This window comes from Homo sapiens, chromosome 3 (genome assembly GCF_000001405.40).
Source record: "Homo sapiens chromosome 3, GRCh38.p14 Primary Assembly".
NCBI lineage: Eukaryota > Metazoa > Chordata > Mammalia > Primates > Hominidae > Homo > Homo sapiens.
In genome coordinates, this window is record NC_000003.12 from 58563688 (window position 1) to 58589090 (window position 25403).

A 25403-nucleotide genomic window follows, 5' to 3' on the forward strand; every position below is an offset into this window, starting at 1 on the left:
CATTTTGGCTCCTCTGTTGAGAACAGGGTGTAGGGACAAGGCCAGTAGGGGAGACCAGTTGGGAGGAGACCACTGCAGTCATCAGATGAGGGGGAGGCACTGCACCTTTGTTCTCTACTGTGTCCCAGCCTATGGCATGCATCCTGGCATGGAGCAGGAACTCGATAAATATTTGTTGAATGATGTGTGCTTTAGTCATGTCCAAGTACCAGTTTTCAGACTCATGCTAGGTAGGCTATATGGGGAAGGTGCAGAAAAACAGATCCCAGGCATTGCAGCTGGGGATCCTGATCCAATAGGCTTCTGATGGGAAAGTTGAATCTGGATTTTTAGCACAGCCTGCAGGTAATTTTGGACAGGCAGGGACTGGCCTTCTGTGTCAGTTAGGGATGATTTTGGTTGCAAGTAACAGAGACTGACCAACAATGGTTTAAACAAAGAGGGATTTATTTTATTTACAAGAATTCTGGAGAAGGATGGCGGCTGGTATTGGCTTGGTGAAATAATGATAGGGTCAATGACTCTGTGATTCTCTTGGCCTTTTTGTCATGGTAGCAAAGTGGCTGCTGTGGCTCCAGGCATCACACCCTCAATCAAGGTAGGAAGAAGAGGCCCAGGGAGGTGTTAGCCATGCCTGTGTCTTTTATTGGAAAAGCTTTCCCAGAAGCCCAGGTAGACTTCCTCTTCAATTTCATTGGCCACACCTGATCACATAGCCATCCTAAGCTGCAAAGGAGACTGGAACAGTGAAAATCTGGATTTACAGCCTCCACAGTTGGAGTGGCTGGAGATACAGAGTTGGGACGACCCCTGAAAAGTGAACCAAGGTCGTCTGCACGGCTGCCCTGGAGGGCGTGGTGCTTGAGGTCCCTTCTACCTCTGGGGCTTCATGGAATGACTTGTTGCCTCCATGGAGCACCTCTGGGGACCACTGGGTGAATCCCCAGGCATTCCCTTGGAGAGCCCTCGTCCATCTGAGACCCTCTGTCTTGCTTCTCTTCACATGTCTGAACAACACATGGACCCGAGGGCTGCTTCTTTGGGGAAGTGGTGATCTTTATTTTAGGGATTGTGCATCTTCAGTGTAACCCTCACCTGGCAGACATTAAACAGCGTAAACACATTCTCAGCACGCCAGTCACATTCAGGAGCCTCTTGGAGCTTGACTTATACACACGCACACAGGCGCAATATCTGCATTTACAGCCCTGTGCTGGCAGCACACACAGGAAAAGCACGACTTCAGTCACCCTCAAACCACCCAGTTATGAGTAAGACCAGAACAATCCCTTTCCTCCGACAGTCCCACGTTTGCTTCCAGGAATCAAAGAGCATGCCAGTGGCAGCTATCTGTGGCAGTTTTGGGAAAGTGAAAGGAGATGCTATTCCAGCACTGCTCTGTCACCTTAGATGATGGGTTTAGGAAGCCAGAGGCAGGGATTTCAGGGGAAAAGAAACAGGCCTGGTTTATTCTCTAATTCTTTAAAAATGGGATAGGAGCAAAAGGTTAAAATATGTGGGTCTCACACAGGAAAGGCCTTCTGAAGAAGAAAAATGGGTGAATTCACTGGAGTTGGCCCAGCTAGGGGTTGGGTCTCAGGTGACAGAGGCCGGGGATTCAGACTCAAAGGGGCCAGTCCATAAAGGTGGCAGTGGGGTCTTCAAACCACTGTTTCTATTCCAGAAGCCTACTGAAAATCATTGTATATTTGCTTTCCATAAGACTAGGAAAAAGTAAAAAAAAAAAATTTTTTTTTTTTTTTTTTTTTTTTTGGCTAGAATTGCATCGTAACAGTGTGGTCACACTGGTAAGAAATGCAGATTGGCAATCATGTACATCTCTGATTAAAACAACACTCACATAACCAACACAATTTGCTAGGCCAAAGTCTTCACGGGCAATCCCTGGGGTGGGAGTCTGGGATGGGGTGGATAATGAAGGATACCTGGGGTTGCAGAAGTGGGGTGGGAATCCCTGGGGCATCAGTCCACAGGAGGTGGGGGCCAGCGATGGCTTCAGGGGTGATATTTCCAATATATATCAGCCCTGGGCACTCTCGCCCTGCTGCTCACAGCATGGTCCTCACACCAGCAGCCTCCGCCTTACCTGGGAGCTTGTTAGAAATGCAGGATCTCCCAGATCTATTGAGTTAGAAGCTGTATTAACAAGATCCCCAGTGATTTTTATGCACAATCAAGTTTGTGAGGCACCGCTGCAGACTTCTGAGTGCAGGAATGCGGCAGCCCTGGGTAGGTGTGGTTAGAAGGCCTGGACGGGGAGGCTGTGCGGAGGGGATGATGAAAGCATGGGTGAGGGGAGAAGACCCTAAACAGCTGTCTTTGTTAGTCCCCGCCCACCTGGCCGGGATGCCAGCAACAAGGCCATCTGCAGTCTGCCCTGCCCTTCCTCCCCTCAGTGGCTTTGAAGGCAGGTGTCCTTGAAGCTAAGCTCTGCTGGCTGCAGGTAAAACCACAGGTGGGGGAGTTCTCTGAGACCTAGGAGCTGGGGTGTACGGAGAAGCGGGGCCCTGGGGAGCCTCGGAGATTCCTGGTGGGAAGGCCTGGGCAGAACAGAAGGCTTGTCAAGTCAGAGGGCCACCTCTTCCTCCTCAATTCTGCCAGAGAAAGCTCCTGTGCTGGGCTCTGAACCCCTTGCAGGGAGGGGTGCAGGTTATCCCTCTTGGAGCAGGAGGGCTGGGTGCTTGGAAGGAAAACCTAGGAGCTTAGGGGCCCCAGCCTCCCAGGGAGAGCCAGGCCCTCTGGGGTGACACATTTCTACAGAAGCAGGTGGGAACATCACAGACGTCCCAGGGCCTGGGGCCCAGGGCTGCCAGGTACAGAAGGGCTGAAGGAGGCTGTCCAGGCCAGGGTGGGCAGTGGCCTGAGCCCGGCAGCTGGCCCTACAGCTCTCTCTCTTCGCTGGTCAGTGTGGCAATTCTCCGCAGGTTTTCCCTGACTTTAATAAACTCGGGGGCGTGATCCTCTTCCTTCTCTGGTGGTTTTTCCAGCTGAAGGAGGGAGAAGCAGAGAGTGAAGTGGGTGGAGCTAGGGGGATTCCTACTCTGAAAACCTGTGGAGTTTGGACCAAGGGCCCACTCAGTGGGGAAACAGAACCAACCTGGGGATGAGTTTTGCTATCAGCCTGGTAGCTGGGGCACAGAGCATGAGACTGAGTTCTCCTTGTGCAGCCTGGTTCAAATCACTCACCCCCTCTGGGCCTCAGCTTCCCCATCTCTAAAATGGGAATGCCACCTGGCTCACAAGACAGTTATAAGAATGAAATCAGAATCAGCATGCAGTACACTGGGCCAGTGAGGAAGCTGAGGTTCAGGGAAGCCACTCGCCCTAAGGACCTAGCAAAGTGAATGGCAGAGGGAGGACTCAGGCCAGGAGTGGACTCTTAGTCCAGTGCTCTGTCTGCTGATCCTCTTCCCTCTTACTAGCTGTGGCCACAGCAGAGCTCCTCCCTGGAGGACAGCCCTGGAGGATGCGTGGTCCCTGCTGGGTGCCCATCACCCACCTGGTTCAGCCTCTGCTGCCGTCTCAGCAGCTCCTGCTCAAAGGGGCACTGCAGCCGCTTGGCTTCCAGCTCCTCCTTCTTCTTCTTGATGAGCTGGTTCCGCCGGCGGTGCTCTAGGACACGCTGCAGCTCTGGCTTGCTGTCCACACCAAGGCCCCTGGGGTGGGAAGTGGGGAGCTGTCAGGAGACCATCACCTTCCCGCTTCCCCCAGCCTCAGGGCTGCTTCCTGCGGTGACACCAACCCCCATTATTATCTTGTGCAATCCTCCCTGTAGCCTTGGAGGTGGACCCATTACTGTCCCATTTTACAGGGACAGAAACTGAGGCTCCTAGGGCTGAAGATACCAGTCCAAGACATAGCTACAGGTAGGCCACATGAGGATTTGAACCCAGGCCTGTTTGACTGCAGAGACCAAGTTTTATGTTATTTCTGGTTATTTTCTTAGGATACTTTCCTAAAGGTAGAATTGCTGGGTCAGGCTCTTTAAAAAGATTTGAGGTACATATATCTATCTGTGCCTGAGAAAGGTTATCCAGTGTATCCTCCTCTGAACAGTGTACAAGAGCATCTATTTCTCCCCACCATCACCAGCCAATCTTTTCATATTTGAGAATCTGGTAGGCCAGAAAGAATATCTGCTTTTCATTTGTTTCTTTATTAGTCACATGGAACAACATTTGATATGTTTACCAGCCATTTGCATTTCTTCTTTTGTGAATTAACTGTATTATCAATATTATTTTTACAGACAAGGACTTGCTCTGTTGCCCAGGCTGGAGTGCAGTGGTGCAATCATAGCTCACTGCAGCCTTGAACTCCTGGGATCAAGTGATCCTCCTGCCTCGGCCTCCCAAAGTGTTGGGATTACAGGTGTGAGCCACCATGTCTGGCTGTACTGTATTACTTTTTATTCATTTTTTCCTTGTCCATTGTAAGAGATCTGGGCCAGGCACAGTGGCTCACGCCTGTAATCCCAGCACTTTGGGAGGCCGAGGAGGGCGGATCACGAGGTCAGGAGACCGAGACCATCCTGGCTAACACAGTGAAACCCTGTCTCTACTAGAAATACAAAAGAATTAGCCGAGTGTGGTGGCGGGCACCTGTAGTCCCTGCTACTTGGGAGGCTGAGGCAGGAGAATGGCATGAACCTGGGAGGTGGAGCTTGCAGTGAGCTGAGGTCGCGCCACTGCACTCCAGCCTGGGCGACAGAGCGAGACTTCATCTCAAACAAAAAAAAAGAAAAAAAGAAAAAAAACAAGAGATCTGAATTTTTTTTTGTATATGTGAGTTTTAAAAATAAAATTTATTTATATTACAAATACTTTCTCTGATTTGTCTTTAAGCTTTTGTTTTTGATTGTGGTGATGTTTTTTGATATTAAAGGGACGAGTCTAAAAACCATTCAGAGAAAATGCTCATATTATAATACTAATTGAAAACAAAAACAAAAGCGACTCAGTGTACAAAATGATAACTGTTAGGATATTGGTCACACAACTGAAAACAAGAATAGAAATCACAACCGGCTCTAATACCAGAATCGGCCAGCAGAGGGCGCTCTGAAGGCACCGCTGCGTTCACGCTGTTACTGGTTAGCAGGAGTATTTCCCAGTCCTCCAAGGGGAGGCTCAGCCTTCCTCTTCTCCAATTCACATCCCATCAATTGCCCCATCCCACCCCTGCCACCTCCCAGATGCCCCTCTGGCTCGTCTCTGTCATTGCACACCACGGCCTTCCACGGAAAAGCCAGCCACCATCCTGGGCCTCTGTAACATTCCTGCCCACTTTGGTATTGTGAGCTCCCCCATCCCACCTCACCAGACGGGCCCACCACACCTTGTGCCCCTGCTGTAGACCTTTCCTTAGTCCATCCTTCTGCCCTGGCCTGCACCACGCAATCGATGCCCCAGGCACAGTGAGTGACTCCTGTTTCCTGTTCATTTACATATGAGGTTCCCTCTGCCATCCAGCACCCACCTCCGGCCTGGCTAACTCCAGTCCCCCTTCAGGTCATAGCTGAGGCAGCACCGCTCCTGTGAAGTCATTTTAGACCCCTCTCGGGTTCCTCCTCTGGGGTCTCAGGCCTATTTATGCCCTCATCAATGCACCCATCCTACTGCCTGGCTATGCACCCGTCCCTGTCTGTGAGGACAGGAACTGGGTCCCATTCATTCTTGTATCCCCAGGTCTGGGCTCAGTGCCCAGCACATAGTAGGTACTCAGTAAATGTATCTGGAGTGTGGGCATGAAATGGGTGGCTGGGCAAGAGAACAGGGCTTTTTGGTCCCTCTGGTTCCCAGGGACCCACTGGGGACAGGGTCTTTACAGGTTTTGCCGGTGATCATGTGGGGCACCTCAGCCTTCCTCAGTCTCCAGGAGCCCCAGGATGAAAGCCAGCTCTGCTTTCCTCCAGGGTCACCTTCCCCATCCCCCACAGGCCCAGGTGCTTGCGGGGCCCAGGCAGCAGGGCTTCATCCCTACCTTCTGTGGTTCATGAGCAGCTCCCGGTGGAGCTCCTGGTGACTCCGAGAGGCCTTCACGGGGTTCAGCAGCTTCTTGGGCTTGATGAGCTCCGGATTCCACTCTCTGTATTCTGGCCGGGCCATCAGGCCCCCAATGTCTGCCCGCTCCCTCTGGATCTCCGAGTACATGGCGGCTGTAGAGATGGGCAGAGGAGTAGCTCAGAGCTGAGCCTATAATCTCACCCTGCCCCATGGGACACAGTTGAAGGGCAAGGTTTTCATGTCAGATGGACCTTGGCCACCTGCTACTGCGCATACCTGGGCAAGCTACCTGACTTTCTGAGCCTTAGTTTCTTCACTTATAAAATGGAAATCATAACGGAACGCATGCACAGGGCTGTCAGAATTGGAGATGATGTTTGCGATGTGTCTGGAGTATAGAAGTAAAATGATAACGGGTCACAAAATACGGGTTGACACATGCATATTTTTGGCCTGGCTTTGCAACAGTTTTCGCCCACTATAAAAGGAATTATGTTTGAGTTTCTGTTTTTCAATGAGCTTGTAACAGAAAAGGAAAATATATTTAAAAAGAGTAACATGTACTTGTTAAAAACAATTTGGATAAATGCAGTGATAAAAAGAAAGTATTACCCTTATTGTCTAACTCTATCCACAGTTCCACAACTGTTCAGCTTTTCATTTTCTTCACATCAAAGAGGAGAGCATGAAATTCAGAGACTGCTGTGTCCCTAATAGCAAAGGGATAGTTGTCAAATGTTTGGCTACTCAATGGCCCCACTTCTACCACAGCGGTTTGAAATCTGTCAGTTTACTTAAAATTCAGACACAAGGGCTCCCTCTTCTACAAACTGGCTCCTTATCCTTGAAATGCCCAAAAGCAAATACAGCAGAGAGAGAGAGAGAGAGAGAGAGAGAGAGAGAGAGAGAGAGAGAGAGAGAGAAAGAGACTGACTTAAAAAAAAAAAGGCCTCAAAGGTATAGACACTGCCTGGCCATTAGCTGCTTATAGGAATTTCAGTGAAAATTTAGACTTTAGCTCTGCTCTCTTCATGAGTCTAGCTTTGCAGAGGTTGAGCTCCTATTATATGCCAGGCCCTGACAGTTGGCAGTGTCTGGTCTGGTATGCAGTAGGCGATCAATACACATTTGTTGGTAATTGCCAATGCAACTTTTGAAGTTTTCTTTGGTCTTGGGGAACCAGTGCCCGGTGGCATGTGATTTTCATGTGGCAACTGAGGGAGTGTGTCCCCATTTCAAACACCAGGCTTCAGCCCCTGCTTGAGGGCCACCATGTTGCCTGTGGACAGACTCTCATTTCCTCCCCCACACTGGGAAGGGGATGAGAACCATTCTCTGCCCAAATGCAGTTTCATGGATGAACAGGGATGTGTGAAAACCTGAAAGTGGCAAACAGCTTATTGGGGTCAGAAAATACAGAGAGGGGGGTTTGACGGGGTGCACGTTGCAAGGTGATATGTCAGGAATCTGGGCATAAAACAGGAGACTGTACTTTGCAACGGTGGCCACCAGACCCGTGTTTGGCATTTCTATGATGACCCATCACAGGCTGCTGTTAGGAGGAGCAAGTAAGACCACATACGTAAAGGTGCTGTGTAACCTGGAAAAAGTGTTAATTATTATAAGGTATTTTGGATGTAGCCAGGTGAAGTGTCAGAGGATAGACATGTTAATTTTTTTCTCAAATTCATATTCTCAGAACCATTTCTGTAATGAGAATTCTTATTAACTTCCCTTTTTTTCTCATCTTTTTCATAAGGCTGTTTGCTTTCAGGTTATATCCTTCCTAATTTTTTGGTCCTTAAAAAGTGATCATAATAGTACTTAGAGTTACTTTAAAATGGGCACTCGACAAAATACATAGTTGGCTGTATCAGCTCCCACTCCTTAGTGTGGGTATTTTATTGTCTGTGGGATCAAGCTCTCTGGGTGCTTACGTATTAGAACACCTGGATTCAGATTGGAGCTTTGAGATCTTCTCTCTTTTGCTGCCTATTCCTATTGTCAAGTGTCGCCCATCCTTTGACTGAGTAATTCTCAGCTACGCTCTTTCCTTCCCGTGACCTCAGCTCTCTTCCTGTTCAGCTCATGCCACACTTTAATAACTACTTTGGCTCCCCAGCTATTCACCTGTTCTTAGTCCCTCTGTGCCCCCCAAATCTTCCAGAGCTGCTTGCTTTTCATCAGCCACACCATCCTTAAAAGAACTCACTGTATGTTGCCAAAGTGATAAGGTAGGAAATAGAATAAGTTGGATAACTTTAGGAAAGGAGATGGCAGCCTTAATATTTGTATAGATAAAGCCATACACCCAGAATTCCCACATGGATGAACAGAAACGCATTTGAAACTGAGAGAGTTCAAGAATGTGGCCAGATACAAAATAAGTACACAAAATCAAGAGCTCCTGAGTAACGGGAATGACCACTGAGAAAGTGCGTAATAATAAAAATAGTCATGCATTCCACACATGTTCGAGTTCCTGTGATTTTCCTGGCACTGTGGTAGACACTGGACACACAGAGGAGAACTAAACAAGTGAGATCCCGGCGCTCACAGAACCCACACTCTGCTGGGGAGGCCAACAGTCAGCACACACACAAGCCAATGAAAACGAAAGACCACAAAAGGCTCCAGGCTCCCATAGAGACTAAGGAGGGACCCGCTGTCAGCCAGGTGTGGTGAGGGCCTCTCTGAGGAGGCGACATTAAGATCTGACAGTTGAGAATGAGGAAGGAGGCCATTTGGGGCCTAGGGAACAGCATGTGTGACTCATGTACCTTGAACAAGCTGGGTCTGTTCAGGGAACAAAAAGACATAGTGTGCTGGGAGTGGTGTGAGCTGAGAGACTGGGAGAGCGCCTGGAGTGAGGGTGGACGGGTGGGTTCAAGTCGGGGAAAGGCGCACCTGATTCAGTTATAAAAAGGTTATTCTCGCTGCTGTGTGGGGAAACCATCAGAGGCCTTGGGATGTTTTGACTTTGGTTTCCTTCACTTCCAATGGGTGGTCTCTGTCTCTTCTGTTAACTTCCAGGGGAAAAATCTGTGATTGACCTGGCTGAGACCTTCGCCCCATACGTAAGTTGCCGGCCAGCCAGTGGGTTGGCTGCCCCAGGGCCAGACGGTCGGACTCAGTCACACAGGGTTGCCCTTGGAAGAGGGGCCCTGTTTGGTTTGACCTTCTGTTGTTGTTGTCTTGAAATTCCAAATGCATTTTGAACAAGTGGCACTCCTTTTTTATTTTGCACTGGGCCCTGTCAATTATGAAGCCAGTCCTGCACCCCAGCTCCAATCTGTGGTCAGCCCTGGCTCAATGACTTGCTCCAGGCCTTAAAAAAAAAATTAATTAAATCAGCAGTGAGCTGTGGATGATGGTATTTCCCTGAGGCCAGGCTGGTGTGGTGGGTGAGGCAGGAACCCTGAGGGATGTGGCTGGTGCCTTAGCTCAGAGCTGCAGGGGAAAAACCATCGCCTTTGCCACTCAGGGTGCTGAACCCCAGCAAACAACCCCTGTGAGATCCACGTATACACCTATGAGGGGTGGGGTGAGGAGGGTTGCTGGGGACCCCCAGGACTTAGAAAGCTGAGCCAGCCTTTCTGCCTTTTAATTTATTTAACCAAGGTCTCTGGGTGGAAGAACCTCATGCAGGTCCTGTTATAAAAGAGACTACTCAATAAAGCACAGGTGGCAGGCCAAGAAAATCCAGGCTGTCTTGGGCGGTCAGCTGGGCCTCCTGAGGCAGAGGACTGGGGTTGTTCCCAAGGCTTCTGGGCATCCCGAGAGATCCAAGACTCTGGGGTCCATCCGGGGAGTGGCTGTGGAGCAGCTAAGAGGGGAAGTGGGCATTAGACATGTCCTCTCTGGAAAGAAAAAGGTGAACACCCAGGAGAAGAGCTAGCAGGGAGAAGGAGGAGCGGGCCAATCACGAAGGAGAAAGGTAAGTGGCTTGTTTGTATTCTTCATGGCTGTTAAAGAAATGCAGGAGGAAGCAGTAGCATAGGGAGGCTGAAGCCATTCAGACTTGCATTCGAATGTCAGCTCTGTCCATGCCTCCCTACCCTCTGGAGCTGGAGCCTGGAAACTACAGCCTTTGGACCAAATCCCACAGCCCTGGGACACACCACGCCCACTTATTGTCTATGGCTGTTTCCCACTGAACAGCAGAGTTGAGATGGGACAGCTGCTTTTGATCTGGTGTTTCCTCCTCTGCAAAATGAGCGTTACATTAGAATCCTCCTCCATGAACTTGTGATATCATAAACGAGGTGATACTTGCAAGGTGCTTGGCAAATGCCTCGTACAGAGTTGAGCGCTTGGGGCTGGCTACCAGGGCTGCCACATACAACAGGCTGGTTGGGTACCTCACAGCAAGTCCTCAACTCCTATAGATTAAACTGTGAATGGTGCCCCTGGAATGGCAGTGTGACCACCCTGTTAGCTGCTATTAACAATCACTATTAATAAATCCCATTCCTAGTCCTAGATGGAGCCTTCTCATCCTCAGAAACCACACTGGTTAAATCAGTGGATCTTAACTTTGGCTGCATATCGGCATCACCACAGGAAGTTTCAAAAATTCCAGTGCCTGAGTCCCACCACAGGGATTCTGATTTAATGGGTTTGGGGGGCGGCTTGGCTTTGGGGATTTTTAAAAGCTCCCTAGGTGATTCCTAGAGTCAGCCAACTTTGCAAACCATGGAGTTAAAAACCCAAAACACAAACTTATTTGCTTCGGTCCTGAAGGATCTCAGCTGACTGTAGTTGGCCTGGTTATTGTGAGCAAATCTGATTAAGGTCACAGTTCTTAGCAGCTGTGTGATCTTGGGATGGTCTCTAACCTCTGGGATGCTCCTCTGTAGAATTGTGATGCTGTGAAGATTGGATGAGCTAAAGAGCTGGGCATGGGGTGGAGGCCACCAGTAGGCGACAGCTATTGAGTGTCTTGCATGACTATAGGATGGCAAATAATTCTCAATATGCAGTTTATGGGACTGATGTTGTTTTTCCTGGGGTGGGGATAATAAGGGGTCTGAGGAAAGATTTGGAACCCCTTGCTTGGTTCCTCCCTGGTTCTGTTGGTGACCCAAGAGGTCCCAGAGCTCCTTGCCACAGGCTCCACAGGATGTTGGCCCCACACCAGGCAAGGCTCAGCAGAGATCACTGCTGCTCCCACGGAGAGTGCACCGGGCCACTGGGGCATGCATGGCTAATGCAGGGTGGCAGATTTGAAACCAAACACTGGTGCCTGCAGCCACAGGAGAGAGTAAGGAGAGACAGAAGGAGAGCTGCACTGATGGAGTCTCGGGGCCCAGTTCGTCTTGACAATAGCCATGGGACCCCAGGCTGTCTAAGGCCTCAGTGTCCCTTCCACTTGCCTCTCCACTGTTCTGGTAGTCATGTTTCTGTCTTCGATGGCATCAGTTGTAACAAATGACACATAAGCCAGTAAAGCAATGGTTAAAGCAGATGTTTTAGTGGAGACAGAGTGGGTTTGATTCATGGTGGCAATCCTTCCCAGCTGTGTTACCTTGGGCAAGTAGCTTAACCTCTCTGAGCCTCTATACAGCAAGGATAACAGCCTATTCATGGAGCAGTTTGGAGGGTGAAGTGATACAATGGCATGATGTGCTTAGCCCAGCGCCTGGCAGAGTGATGCTCACCGAAGACAAACTATGGTACTTCTGTCCTGAAGAAACCCTGTGGTCACCACTAGAATTTGATCTGGATCTCTAAATCACCCTTGGAGGCAGCCAGTGGTACCCTGTTTTATAGATGAGAAAACTAAGGCTCAGAGAGGCCAAGCTACTTGTCTCGATACACAGAGAGTAAGCAGCAAAGCCAGGACCTTGGACGCCAAATTCAATGCTCTTTCTACCTCTCCACTGTCTTCAAGGTGCAAAATGTCTTTTAGTTGACAAAGCAGGGTTATGTCCCTTTTCTCTCTCTAGATAGTCAAGAAACCCCAATGAAGAGGCTGTGTGAGCCCATTTTATAGATAAGAACATGGAGGCCTGCTAACTTGAGGACTCCTAGCCTACGTGAAATGCAAACTCTCACTGGGGAGCCCCAGCCTGGCCCTAGCAGCTTTGGGCTTAAGCTAGAGTCCACGGGCCTGTCTGGCCTCAGGCTGGTCTCTGTTTAGGAGAGGACCAGCTGGTGGCCTTCCCTCCTGTGCCCCCACTTCCTCATTACTGTTCAAGCTGCTGGGTTCCGAACACATTCAGAACCCTCTTGGTTCAGCATTTAATGGGATGCCAGGGCAGAGGAGAAGAGAGGCTTTCAAAATAACGACTGGCAAAGGAAAAACAGGCATTCAGTAAAAGTGACAAGCACGGTCACTGGATTTCCTGACCCTTCTGGCTTTTTTCCTCTCCATGGGGAAAGTGCCTATTTGTATTTCACTGGCCAGCAGCCAAAGAACAGTGTATCTCGGAGCCACCTCCAGATCTCCCAGCAGCTTCTGGTCGATGCTCGGAAGCCCCCAGCAGAGCTGCTTGTCCATTTGGATGCAATGACTCAAGGCTGACTTCCTGAACATTTTGCCTCAGGTCCGTTGCAACTTCCTACCTCGGAAGGAGAATGTTGGGTGGACATTTAGGATTTTGAACCAATTAAATAGCAGAGTCCAGGGCTAGACATGGAGGATACTTAGCAAGGTTAGTGGACAGCATTGTGCAGTTGATCTGGAACAAGCATCAGCAGACCTGGAATCCCTGCTGGCTCATTAGTGGCATGATGTCAGCCACTTTACCTGGCAGATGCCTCTGCAGGGAAAATTCCAGCAGGTACTCACCACCAACAGAACTAAGAGGGCCACTCAGGATCTAAGCCACCCAGAGATGCAGGCGTGGGGGCTGCCTTGAAGCTCAAAGCTACTTGGGTTTGGTAGCAGTTTCAAAAAGTGACACACCCAATCCTACAGCTCTTGATTTCTGGCCCAATCTCAGACTTGCCTTGTATTGCAAAGTCCTAAAGCCAAATTCACCAGAAAGGCAGGCCCTTCACACGTTAACCTGCGTGCACTATGTGCCATGCACTGTGCTAAGCACCTAGCAGCCATATCTCATGAAATATGAAATTCTTACGACAGACTGAAGAGGTGGGTACTGTTATTATCCTCTTTTTACAGTCAAGGAAACTGAAGTTCAGGGAAGTCATCTGATTTCCCCAAATCACACAGCCGGTGAAGGAAAGAGCTTGAATCTGAGCCAAACTCTGAAGCTGAAATCTGTGTTCTGTCTGTTGTGCTGAGAATTAAACCCCCATACTGTGTGATAATTGACTTAGGTGAGGCTATATCATGCATTAATTCAGATTCACCTGAGGATGCAGCAGAAAAAGATCAACAAGAATGCAGGGCTATGCCAGGGGGCTCGCTTCTTTGTCTCCTACCCTTTTCCGAAACCCAGGGTGCCTGGAGGCATCTCCCGTATCATTTTATGGATGCTGGGACATAGCCCGGGTACCTAAACTCAAAGCACTCAGGTCCACTGACAGCCCACTTCAGTGTACCGGGTCTGCCCTCCTTCCCTTCCACCTCCTCCCGAACGGCACCGCTCTCAACAGCAGATGAAACAGAACAGAGATGGTCTTACTTCTCAGGTCGAGTCCTTGGGAAGGGAAGTCAGGAGCGTGTTGCTGGGTTCCTCACTCCACCGGGAAGTCCCAGACTAGCAAGGAGGGCTGCCTCTAGAGGGCGGTTCTTAAACCCCTGGGAACGGAGGCTGCTGAAATGTGCCAACAAGTGAGACAGCCTTTGCATTCCTGTTTATTCTGGTATCAATAAAAAGGAACTGTTACTATAGTAACAGATATTCCACTTGGTGCACGGCCACTTCCACGATGCGGAACATCATGTCCAAGCCACACGCTTGAGAGGCACAAATAAATACCCATTTTGTCAGATTGATGAGGAATAAGAAACACGCCAAGCTTTGTTCTGAGCAAGGCGGCTCACGTAAAGGAATTTCCCTTGTTTCTTATGGGAGGGTCAGGCAAGAGTGGATTCCAGCACTTCCCCATGGGAGGGGAAGCCAAGCTTCCTGAGGCAGTGGTGTGGATTCTTCAGGAGAAAATGGCTCTGGGGGGAAAAGGGTGGGGTGTAAAGGGAGGGGAAACTGCTCAGCATTGGGTCAGTTCTTAATTATCCACGAATGGGTCAGAAACTCCGTACACAGCGTTTTCCTGATACCTTGAATGTCATTGGAACTTCACAGAGGAGCCAACGGAAGAGCGTGGGAGAGGGGATGCACCGTGTCTGGGTCTCAGCAGGCTCATGTGTTGGCCCTGGCTCCAGCACCAGCCCCTTCAGCAGCCACTCAGTGTCTCTGTGTCTTGGTTTCTGTGTTTGTCAAATGTGGAGCATACCAGGGTGGTTGGGAGATGACATGGATGAGATGACATTAGTGAAGCACATAGTCAAAGCTCAGCATATAGGACTTTTCTCCAAGAGAGACCTGGACTCTACGTGATCTGAGGCCAGAGCCCAGCATGGTGCATTTTGCCTGGCAGAATATGTGTTCCATAAGTAGTGGCTCAATGAATGAACATGTGAATGTAAAATATAAAAGTAGGCCAGGCATGGTAGCTCATGCCTGTAATCCCAGCACTTTGGGAGGCTGAGGTAGGCAGATCATTTGAGGTCAGAAGTTTGAGAACAGCCTGGCCAACATGGTAAAACCCTGTCTCTACTAAAAATACAAAAATTAGCCAGGGGTGGTGGCACACACCTGTAATCCCAGCTACCTGGGAGGCTGAGGCAGGAGAATTGCTTGAACTTGGGAGGCAGAGTTTGCAGTGAGCCAAGATTGGGCCACTGCACTCCAGCCTGGGTGACAGAGCAAGACTGTCTCAAAAAAACCCAAAAAACAAACAAACAAAAAAACCCAAGAAAAGTAAAAAATGTATGTAGATCCTTAAGGCCAGCCTGGATGCTTATAGATAATGGAGGCATTCTCCTAATTTCAGAATCAGCTTTCACTTGAAAAGCTGGAAGTGTTTTCTATCGTTTAGTGTCATCCTAGTTCCCCAGTGAGGAAGCTGGGGTCTACCAGTTAGACCAGGCCTCCACCCCAACTTTACTTTCTCATGGAGTCTTGGTTGGCTAGAAGGTGATGAGGCCTAGGACATGCATCACAGGTGAATGGAGGCTTTAACAAGGCAACCTTGTGTCTTCTTTGGCCTATATTATTTGTTCATTTAACAAACATTTATTTAATTCCTACTGTGTTCCTGGCACTGTTCTAAGTGCTGGGGGTACCATGTGAATGACACAGGTAATATCCCTGCTGTCAGGGAACCTACCTTCAAGGGGGACACACAGTAAAGAAGGGGACATTCAGGATGACGTCAGGCAGTGAGGAATGCCGTGATGAACGCAAGGCTGGGTGAGGTGAGAGCGGGTGGTGTTTTAGGGTAGCAGAATCACAAGGAGTCAGTTGTGTGAAGTCTGTACACATGGGAGAGTCTTCGTAGGGTGGGAAGAGCCAGTGGAAAGGCCCAGACTGGGTGGATCCTGGTGTGATGTAAAGGCAGGCTGGGTGCCATCTTGGGAGTGAGGGAGGTGGGAGACAGGGGTGGAGTGGGAGGGACAGGGCAGGCATGTCCAGGGAGTCTTGGCCACGCTGACCATTCTCGAGCCACTTAAACTAAGAGGGTCCTAAATTCTTGGGTATAAAACAATTTTCTGGAAACAATGTGTGGTCCCTTTTTTTCTTCTTCCCCAATTCTGCATTTCTTGAGGCACTATGAATGGTAGCCCCCTCAGCCTCCCACCCTGCTCTGCCTTAACTTCCCCAAACTCTCCTGGTAGAAGAGGACAGCTAGATTCTTGTCAAACCACTCTTTGCTGACCCTGGTTCCTTGCACACATCCTCCTGCTCTGCAAAGAAGTATTTTGAATATTTCCTAGGGTCTTTGGTGGCTCAGATGAACCAATCCCAGTGCCTTCTAACAGTTGGAGAGTAAGAAGGATCCTGGAGCGGGGGAACTTCTGACAGCTCCTGCTCATCCCCGGAGAAGACAGAAGCCCATCACCTGGTACACTTCAGAGGAACACGCACCTGACAGCCAAGGAGAACTGGGCAGTAGTCCTCGGATGTTGGGCGTCATTTTCCGTGGGCAGTTGGGAGTCACTGTGCTTCTCCCACAAAAACTCTTCTCACAGTCCAACTTGTATACAAACCCATCAGACTGCTAGCCCCAGGGCAGGTACCTACCTATCTTCCTGTCCCAGTACTGAGGGGCTCAATAACTATTGTTAACCTGAAGACACCGAAAACCTTGACAGCGCTGAGCTTGTTACAGCACCATCTTGCTGTGTGTCCATGTGCAGGTGCAACTGTACGTGAGATCAGCGGCCAACCACCACCCTTTCCCAGGCCACACTCCATCAGCAAGAGACTATGCTACACCCCAAGACGAGATGCAGCCAATAAACATGTCTATGTATTGACCTGAAAAAGATGTCTTCTACATATTCAATGAAAAATCATATGTAGTAGGATCTCTTTTTTTTTTCAAGATAAAAAAGTTGGTATATGTATAAAGAACTAGTGTGGAGGCAAATACACTAATCTGTTAGCAGAGGTCAACTCTAGATCAGTGTATCTCAAATACTATTACTAGATGTCATTTGAAATGAGTGCTAAAAATGCTCTTGCTTTTTTTTTTTCCTAGGGAGGAACCTAGGAATCTGGATTTTTTTTTTTTTTTTTTTTTTGAGACAGAGCATTACTCTGTTACCTAGGCTGAATGCAGTGGTGCCATAATGGCTCACTGCAGCCTTGACCTCCTGGGATCAAGCGAGCCTCCCACCTCAGTCTCCCAAGTAGCTGAGACTACAGACACATGCCACCACACCCAGCTAATTTTTTATTTTTTTTAGAAATGAGATCTCACTGTGTTGCCCAGGCTGGTCTTGAACTCTTGGCCTCAAGTGTTCCTCCTGCTTCAGCCTCCCAAAGTGCTAGGATCACAGGAATGAAGCCACCATGGAATCTGGATTTTAAACATACCTCTCTGGGGGCTCATTTATATTAAAGAGTTTGAGGACCATTGTTCTACAGCGTAAAATTACAGGCCCTTCTCCTTTGTCACTGCATTTCTGTGATGTTTGCGGTGTTAAAAGAAAAAAAAAGGCCCTAGCATATATTACTTTTGTTATCAGAAAAAGACTCTAAGAATTAAAAATGTGAGAAAGAGCAACATTTCCCAAACAACTGTAGTTAGTTAGGAATCACATCTGGCTCAGTTATGTCATCAGAATATGGGAAAACAGAGGCCCTCTGAACAAACAAGCCTTTGAGGCGTTTACTCCAGGTAATTGCATAATTCAAGCCACAGTCGCTGTCTCCTGCCTCCTTCTGTGTGGCTTTCCCTGGAGGTCTTCCTATTCTTCCAAAAGGAAGGACTCTGGGAAGCCAGGGGCCTGGGGATCTGCATACTTGCTCGGCCCCCTGGTGAGCTGGGGCATCAAAGGGGGAAGCCCAGGGGCTGGGCACACCCCTCCTGTCTTCCCTCCCATCCCCTTTTAACTCTGATTTCTTGGGAACCAGAGGAACCCAAAGGAAGGGGGACAGGGAAGACCAGGGGAGGCAGTCCTGACAGGGAGGTGGAGAATTTTCCTGCATCTATAGTGGGCTGGGCTGCAGTGTGCAGAAAATAACCTCCCCAAACAGCTTTTGTTTCATTTTTGCCCCCTTTCTCCAAGCCCATGGGCGCCTAGAACAGCTTATCTGGGCCCACGAACATCAAACAAGAAGTTTCCATGGCAACTTAAAACTTCCTCCTCAGCCCTGTATTCAGTCTAAATCTCCAAGGCCCCTTTTCAAGGCCTCAATGGGGTTTCTGAGCAGCCACCCACAAAACAGCCCTAGGATTAAACCGTGCCCCCCGCCTCTCAAACATGCTCTGCAGAAAGGACTCGGGGGTTGGGGGAGAAGAAGCTGTGCTGGCAGAAAGAACCTGTCATGGGATCTGTGGAGAGATTATAAAAGGAATGAGAGTCGCCTTTACAACAAGTTTGAACCGGGAAGAATTTACCCAGTTGAGGGATTTCAAGCGTGAAAATGGGAAAGTGAGAGGGGGTGGGGAAGAACTTAGAGTCTTGTTTCTGAAAGCTGGCTCTCCACCCAGCTGCAATTAGACATGGTTAATTTGGTCTCTTAGCTGCAGAAGGACCCTGGGGTACCCCCATCCCCAGTACATTTTAATTCCCTTGTAATCAGACAAGAAGCACAGTGAGTGAATCTATGGATGGTGAGAGGATGTGAGAGGGAGCATGTGTGTGTGTGCGTGTGTGTGTCTGTTTCTCTGTGTGTGTGTGTATGTGTGCGCGCATGCATGCAGGAGAACCTGGGCAGACCACAGCTGTCAAACTGAGCAAACTTCATGATTCCTGGCAGCATAGTTGCTAGATGTACCAAATAAAAATGTCACACATCGAAGTTAAATTTGAATTTCTAATGAGCACCAAATAACTTTTTAGTATAGTCCATGACATAGCTGGAACATGCTTACACTAAAATATGATTTGTTGTTTCTCTGAAATTCAGATGGAACTGAGTGCCCTGTATTTTATCTGGCAGCCCTACCTGGCAGAGGCAGGGGTGGAGGCTGCGTCTGCCCCTCTGGCTGCGGAGAAGAAGTATAGTTGCTGATGCCCGCAGGCACCTGGGGAGGTGCCTTTTTGTCCATAGTGCAGAGAGATGCTTTCCTCCCTTCCAGGAACATGACCTGAGCTCCAGGTAGGATGCAGGTTAACGCCCCTCAAGTGGACTTGAACTACTGGACTGTATTGCCTCCCAGGCATGGCCAAACAGGAGTTATTCCACAGAGGTGACCCTTCTAGCCCTGTGATTGAGAGCATGGACTCTGGTGCCAACCCGGACCACAATCCTGACTCCATTGCTGGACAACTGGGTGACCTTCAACTCTCTGTTTCCTCCTCCCTAAAATGGGGCAGACGTGTTTTTGAGGAACAAAGGAGATATGTTCTGGAGAGCCCTTCACACCGTGGCTGCCATGGAGTCAGGGCTCTGTAAGTGGCAACTATTATTTTGATAACTCACTTAAGAGCATTCAAGTTTGTTTGTTTGTTTGTTTGAGACAGAGTCTTGCTCTGTTGCCAGGCTGGAGGGCAGTGGCACGATTTCGGCTCACTGCGACCTCTGCCTCCCGGGTTCAAGTGATTCTCCCACCTCAGCCTCCCGAGTAGCTGGCATTACAGGCACCTGCCATCACGCCTAGCTAATTTTTGTATTTTTGGTAGAGATGGGGTTTCACTATGTTGGCCAGGCTGGTCTCGAACACCTGACCTCAAGTGATCCACCTGCCTTGGCCTCGCAGAGCGTTGGGATTACAGGCGTGAGCCACTGTGCCCGGCCGAGCATTCAAGATTTTCATCCAACTGAAAAAAGTGGAATTAAAGACTAGAGTCAGAACAGTCTCAACAGTGTAAAACACACACACACTATGCATAGCAAGGTTTGGAAGGAGGCATTTCCAAATGTTATGTGTGGCCGCCCGTGGTTAGTGGGATTATGTGTTAGGCCTCCTCCTCTTTAGTCTCAATTTCTCGAAATATCTATGGTGAGCATGTCTTACTCTAATATTAAGAAATTATTTTAGCCGGGTGCGGTGGCTCATGCCTGTAATCCCAGCACTTTGGGAGGCCAAGGCGGGTGGATGACCTCAGGTCAGGAGTTCGAGACCAGCCTGACCAACATGGTGAAACCCTGTCTCTATTAAAAATACAAAATTAGCCGGGCGTGGTGGCGGGAGCCTGTAATTCCAGCTACTCAGGAGGCTGAGGCAGGAGAGTTGCTTGAACTCGGGAGCCAGAGGTTGCAGTGAGCTGAGATCCCGCCATTGCACTCCACCCTGGGCAACAAGAGCAAAACTCTGTCAAAAAAAAAAAAAATTATTTTGAAATACCTTGGGATAAACGTTTTTCTTTTTCTTTTTCTTTTCTTTTTTTTTGGGGGGGGACACGGTCTTGCTCTGTTGCTCAGGCTGGAGGGCAGTGGAGCAAACACAGCTCATGGCAGCCTCAACTCTCTGGGCTCAAGTGATCCTCCCACCTCAGCCTCCTGAGTAGCTAGGACCACAGGCATGCACCACCATGCTGGGCTAATTTTTAAACATTTTTCTAGAGACGAGATCTCACTATTTTGCCCAGGCTGGTCTTGAACTCCCGGCCTCAAGGCATGAGTCACCCAGTGTTATATTATCTGCTGCATGACTTGAGGCTACTGTTAATGAAAAGAGCCTCTATTTTGGGTCTGAATCTGTAATGTCCTCCTTGGGGGCTTCTCAACGAAAGGAGTGCTCACCCCTTCAGCACATGGCCAAATTGGCTCCTTACTCCCATTCTCACTTCCTGCCGCTCCCTGTGTGGAGCAGCCAGAGAGCGGGTCCAGAGGCACACGGTCCTGGTTGGAATCTCAGCTTCACTCTCGATGAGTTGTATGACCTTAGACAAGTCATGTTACCATCTGAGCCTCGGTTTCCTCATGTTTCCAATAGGGGTTTCCATTACTCTGCTCCCTGAGAGGAGGGGCAGATCTGTTTTATTTATAAATACATCCCTGCACCTTGGAAAACAGAGGCCAATAAATATTAGCTGGATGAATAAATGAATGAAGGGAGTTGATGAGATGGCAGATGTACAGCAGAGATGGGGTGATCGTTGAGTGCTGACAATCATCAGCCATTATTGTGACTATCCTCAGAAGGTGTGCAGACTTTGGCATGGATGGACCGCAGTTTGAATGTGTTTTCTACCTCTTTGTGGGGTAGAAAATGTTCCTTAGTGGACCATGGGCAAGGTGCTTAAGCTCTCTGAACCTCGGTCTTCTTATCTCTTAAATGGAGATAACAATTGGCAGTGTCCTTCTGAGGCAGGAGAATAGGGTCTGGAGGCAGGGAACATATGGCCGCTTCACGCTGACTTCCCAGAACAGAACGAAATCAAATGGAGACACTTCGGCGATGACAGGAAATATCCTCTCCATTTACATAGGGCATGCACCCAGTAAATGACTATATAACTTCACTCCATCCTCTTCATCTACATAGGACGTACACCAAGTAACCGATGGAAACCTCTAGAGGGTATTTAAACCCCAGAAAATTCCGTAACGGGGCTCTTGAGGCCCCATGCTCGGCCCCCCTCCCGCCCTGTGGAGTGTACTTTCATTTTCAATACATCTTTGCTTTTGTTACTTCATTCTTTCCTTGCTTTGTTTGTGCGTTTTGTCCAATTCTTTGTTCATGACGCCAAGAACCTGGACACCGTCAATGGGTAACACTTGTAGAGTGGTGCAGGGAAGGAGCCAGGGATATTAAGTGCTTGTCAGTGCAGCCTCCGTCCCTTTTCCGAGGCCCCGCTCCCTTCCTGGCTCCTTACCCGCAGGCGTGCAGCCCCTGGAAACACTCCTACGTGTTTGCTATTCTGCGTGGGTTGATAGCTAAGAGGTGAGGGGGAACACAAGGCCTTCAGATTAGGGAGACCCCCTCCGCAGCTTTGAGAGACGATCGAGAACTGGGTGGGGACACTTAGGGTGGCGTGCTTTGTAGGGAAATCGCCGGAGCTGGGATTGGAAATCAGATTCGTCTGATGATAAAGCTACTCCTTCTCTGCCTGTCCCGCCTCAGCAAGATTTCAGACCCTCCTTTAGGAAGGCGCCGCCAGTCCTGAAGTTTGGGCCAGTTCTCGCTTTGGGACTTGGAGAACTGTGGTTCCAGTAACTGGGTGGCGGGATCTCCCCCAGGCGGGGCTTAAGCGGGAAGGGCGAGCAGTTCCAGAGCGGGCCGCGCGGGGCGCGGGGACAGGCACCGCCGCTGCAGACGCGGCAGCTGGTTTGCCTCGCGCTTTTGGCTCCAGCGGTCGGCAGGCAGGCCTACGGGTGGGGCGAGCTCCTTGCCCAAGGCAGAGGGTAGCTGGCCCGTGAGCCCAAGTCCCTTGACGCTTTGTAATCACGGACCTCCACAGTGCAGGACCCCAGCACGAGATAGCGTTTCACCTCCTCCAAACGTCTCTCTCCAAGGAGAGTCGGGAGGAAAATACCCCAAATGCTTACCGGGGCTTTGCTTTCTCTTTTTTTCCCCCCTACATCCCTGTATTCTCCGAATTATTTGGACACTGGTCATATATTAGGTTAACTTCATTTTTCTAAATAAAAAGGCTTATTTCCTGAATAGAAAAGAAACACGTGCTTACTGCAAACAAGCAAACAAAAAGATGGAAGAGAAAAAGCACCTATCATCCAACCCCCAACCTTAAGAAATGAAACCACCCAGTGTTTCCTTCCAAATAGTTGCATGCACACATATAGAAAGGCAGTTGCTCTCCTAGATCTGCCTTCCCTTCCCCTCCCCACCTTGTGTCATGCCTCACTGGACAGCAGACCTCCTTCAACCGCGCTGCCGGGCTCCAGTTTCTTTATGCCTGATTGCCTGCTACTCGAGTCGTGCCCATTTTCCTCTCTCCTGGCCCAAACTTCCTGCGCCTACAGCCGCCTTCAGGCACTTGTGTGAGTCTCTGTTTAAGAGATCAGCCAGGAGGTGGAACCTCACAGGACTTCTGTGGTCAAGAAACTGTGTGAGCGTGTTCTCACACATAGGAAGAAAGCAATGTATGTCATAGATCCCCAAAAGGATGAATGCAGGAAGAGGGAAGGAACAAAGGAAGGAAAGAAAGGCAGAAAGGAGGAAGAAAAAAAAAGTAATTAAAAAGAATGACGTGAGGATTGTTTGAGCCCAGGAGTTGGAGATCAGCCTGGGCAGCACTAGGGAGAACTCGTCCCTACAAAAAATTTAAAAAATTAGCTGGGTGTGGTGGTGCGCACCTGTAGTCCCAGCTACTCGGGAGGCTGAGGCGGGAGGATGGGGAGGATCGCTTGAGCCCAGGAGTTGGAAGCTGCAGTGAGCTATGATTGCACCACTGCACTCCAGTCGGGGAGAAAGAATGAGACCCTGTCACAAACAAACAAAAAAGCAAAAAGAATGACGGAAGGTTAGGAAAGAAGCAGAGCAACGAAGCAGAGGCGCCCAGCGGCGGACTGGCCAGGGACTGAGCGCCGTGCACCACAGAGCCCTCCTCGCCCACTTCCCGCGGCGAGGGTGGCGTTGCTCCCACTTACCCGACCGGAGCAGCACAGCCCGGTAGAGCCCGGTGGCATCGGAGGGCCCCCGGGCCCACTCGCCCAGCCTCTGCGCCATGCCCCCGCGCCTCCTACTGCAGAGCCAGCACTGCTGGCCCCGCGAGCGCACAGCAGGAGCGTAGTCCGGAGCCGAAGCGCCTCCGCGACGGTGACGCGGCCCCAAGTCCCAAACCCCGCTGAGGGTCAAGTTACGGCGGCGGCCGGAGGGGCGGGCGAGGAGACGCCGCCGGGGGAAGGAGGGGGGCAGGGGCCAGGGCAGGTGTCCGCGCCCAGGTAGCAGGCAGGGCGCGGGTGAACGTCTGCAGTGAGGACTCCTAGCCCCGAGGTTCCAGGGCCAAGGCGAGAACACAGTGTCCTGACTTCCAGCCTCGGTCTCCCACCTACTCTTCTGCTTTCTTTGGCCGCTGGCCTTGTTGATGCTACCAGCATGGGGTTCTGAAGCGCCATACCTGGGATCAGGTCCCACCACCACCATTAAAAGCTGTGTGTCCCCACGATTTAGTTACCTAACCTCGCAGAAACTCAGTTTCCTCATCTGTAAAATCGGAATAACCAGAGTACTTTCCTCACATGGTTGTGAGGTTAATCAGCTTAGAGTGTGTGTGTGTGTGTGTGTGTGTGTGTGTGTGTGTGTGTGTGTGGCCCAGAACAGAGGCTGGTGCAGAACAAACACTATACAGTATACACTGGTACTTTAAAACATGTCACAAGTATCGTGGGGTGGGTGGCACTGAGAGGCAGGGTCTTTGCTGGGTGTGAAGGTTGAGGGTGGAGGCCTATGGAACTCCACCAGATTGCTTTCTCTGGCTTTGTGGAGTGTCTGTAACAATCAGAGATGAGTGGGCCAATCAGGTCTAAAGGTGGGAGGTGCCAGGCTCACCAGGGGGCTTCAGGAGATACAAGAAGCTGGCAATTTTGAGGATCTATTCTGTGTCTGGTGCTAAGTTTCTTCTAAAACAAAAACTCATGTTAATTGTGTGCTTCATGTTCTGTTTCATTTAATCTTCATAATCCTATGAAGCAGGGTCTATTAACATTGCAAATAAGAAAAAACAGAGACTCAGAGGGGTGATGCAACTTCTCTGAAGTCACACAGTGTAGGGCTGGGATACATGAACGCAGGTGGTCCGACTACAGACCTTGGCCACCTGCTCTTCTGCCTGTCTGCTATCTCATTCACTCGTCACAACAGCCCTGAAGGGTGGGTATTCCCTCCAGTTTACAGGTGAGGTCGTTGAGACTTAGGCAGGTGAGGTGGCTTGCACAACCAAGACCCAATCCAGTTCTCAGCCCACAAAACTTAAGCCCCTGAAATCTAGAGATTCCTGGAGCTGTCCAGGGTACTGGATGGCCTCTGTTCAAGGCTGTGTCTGAAAGAGCCAGGGAATCTTGAGCTGACTGTTGTGGTCTCAGCCACACAGTACCACCTCCCTTTGCGGCCTGTTACCAGCCTTGGTACCTTCAAGGCCAACTGTTGGCCAAACTCTCTTTGGTTGGCCCATGGCCACTGCCCAGATCCAGCTTCTGCTCTGACTCAGGGGTCCTGTACCTCTCTGCTCCCCAGACACCATCCAGTGTCCTGAAAGCCCATCTGCCACACCTCAGATGCCAATCAGGGGCCCAAGGTGACACTTGATCTTTGGAGGCCTCATTGATTGGCCAGACTGATCATGTCTGTCATCAACAACCAGCCTTCAGGAGTGCCAGGCATGATGGCAGATATTTGGCATTCACTGTATTATATCCTTTCTTCAGAGGATGAAATTATATCCAATTTACAGTTCACCTCATTTAATCCACTCAATAGCTCTTTGATCAAGCTATGGTTCTTTCTTTCTTTATTTTTTTATGGCTCACTGCAACCTCCACCTCCTGGGTTCAAGCAATTCTCCTGCCTCAGCCTCCCGAGTAGCTGGGATTACAGGTGCACGCAACCGCAACTGGCTAATTTTGTATTTTTAGTAGAGAAGGGGTTTTGCCATGTTGGTCTCGAACTCCTGACTTCCAGTGATCCACCTGCCTCAGCCTCTCAAAGTGCTGGGATTACAGGCATGAGTCACCATGCCCGGCCTCAAGTGATGGTTATGCCCCTTTTACAGTTGAGGAAATACGGCACAAGTGACTTGCTCGAGATCACATAATGAGTTGGTAGTGGAGCCAGAATTTGAACCCAGATGGTGCCAGAACTTATGCTGCAAGGGAGAAACCAAAC

The 25403-nt window shown here is 49.7% G+C and overlaps 1 protein-coding gene and 1 long non-coding RNA gene across 8 annotated transcripts in view, besides 3 other annotated features; one reads left to right on the forward strand and one right to left on the reverse strand.

Annotated features, from left to right (window-relative positions):
• The window catches only part of LOC107984079 (uncharacterized), a 44804-nt gene extending 28316 nt beyond the window's left edge, over nt 1-16488 (forward strand). Inside the window, exons 2-3 of one of the 3 annotated variants that reach the window (XR_001740724.2) lie at nt 9060-9103; nt 15937-16488. This is a non-coding gene — a long non-coding RNA (uncharacterized LOC107984079). Of the gene's footprint in view, nt 1-6731; nt 9104-9647; nt 11128-15936 lie in introns of those variants that run through there. The other 2 variants (XR_001740721.2, XR_001740722.3) reach the window with 2 other exon arrangements.
• The window catches only part of FAM107A (family with sequence similarity 107 member A), a 63494-nt gene continuing 38520 nt past the window's right edge, over nt 430-25403 (reverse strand). Inside the window, exons 1-5 of one of the 5 annotated variants that reach the window (XM_047447370.1) lie at nt 23171-23327; nt 6639-6736; nt 6004-6178; nt 3521-3677; nt 430-3008 (exon numbers count right to left, since the gene is read on the reverse strand). In XM_047447370.1, the coding sequence (XP_047303326.1) occupies nt 2901-3008; nt 3521-3677; nt 6004-6173 (435 nt within the window). In that variant the 5' untranslated portion in view covers nt 6174-6178; nt 6639-6736; nt 23171-23327 and the 3' untranslated portion in view covers nt 430-2900. Of the gene's footprint in view, nt 3009-3520; nt 3678-6003; nt 6179-6638; nt 6737-13621; nt 13705-23170; nt 23328-25403 lie in introns of those variants that run through there. The other 4 variants (NM_007177.4, NM_001282713.2, NM_001076778.3 and 1 more) reach the window with 4 other exon arrangements.
• Nucleotides 2010-2534: an enhancer, noted in NCBI's record as "H3K27ac-H3K4me1 hESC enhancer chr3:58551424-58551948 (GRCh37/hg19 assembly coordinates)". NCBI's record gives its function as "activates a minimal SCP1, AML or CMV promoter by ChIP-STARR-seq in naive H9 embryonic stem cells {active_cell/tissue: H9 hESC(naive)}" and the evidence as "EXISTENCE:reporter gene assay evidence [ECO:0000049][PMID:30033119]".
• Nucleotides 2535-3058: an enhancer, noted in NCBI's record as "H3K27ac-H3K4me1 hESC enhancer chr3:58551949-58552472 (GRCh37/hg19 assembly coordinates)". NCBI's record gives its function as "activates a minimal SCP1, AML or CMV promoter by ChIP-STARR-seq in naive H9 embryonic stem cells {active_cell/tissue: H9 hESC(naive)}" and the evidence as "EXISTENCE:reporter gene assay evidence [ECO:0000049][PMID:30033119]".
• Nucleotides 21675-21969: an enhancer, noted in NCBI's record as "tiled region #12039; K562 Activating DNase matched - State 4:PromP". NCBI's record gives its function as "activates a minimal TATA promoter and a strong SV40 promoter by Sharpr-MPRA in K562 cells {active_cell/tissue: K562}" and the evidence as "EXISTENCE:reporter gene assay evidence [ECO:0000049][PMID:27701403]".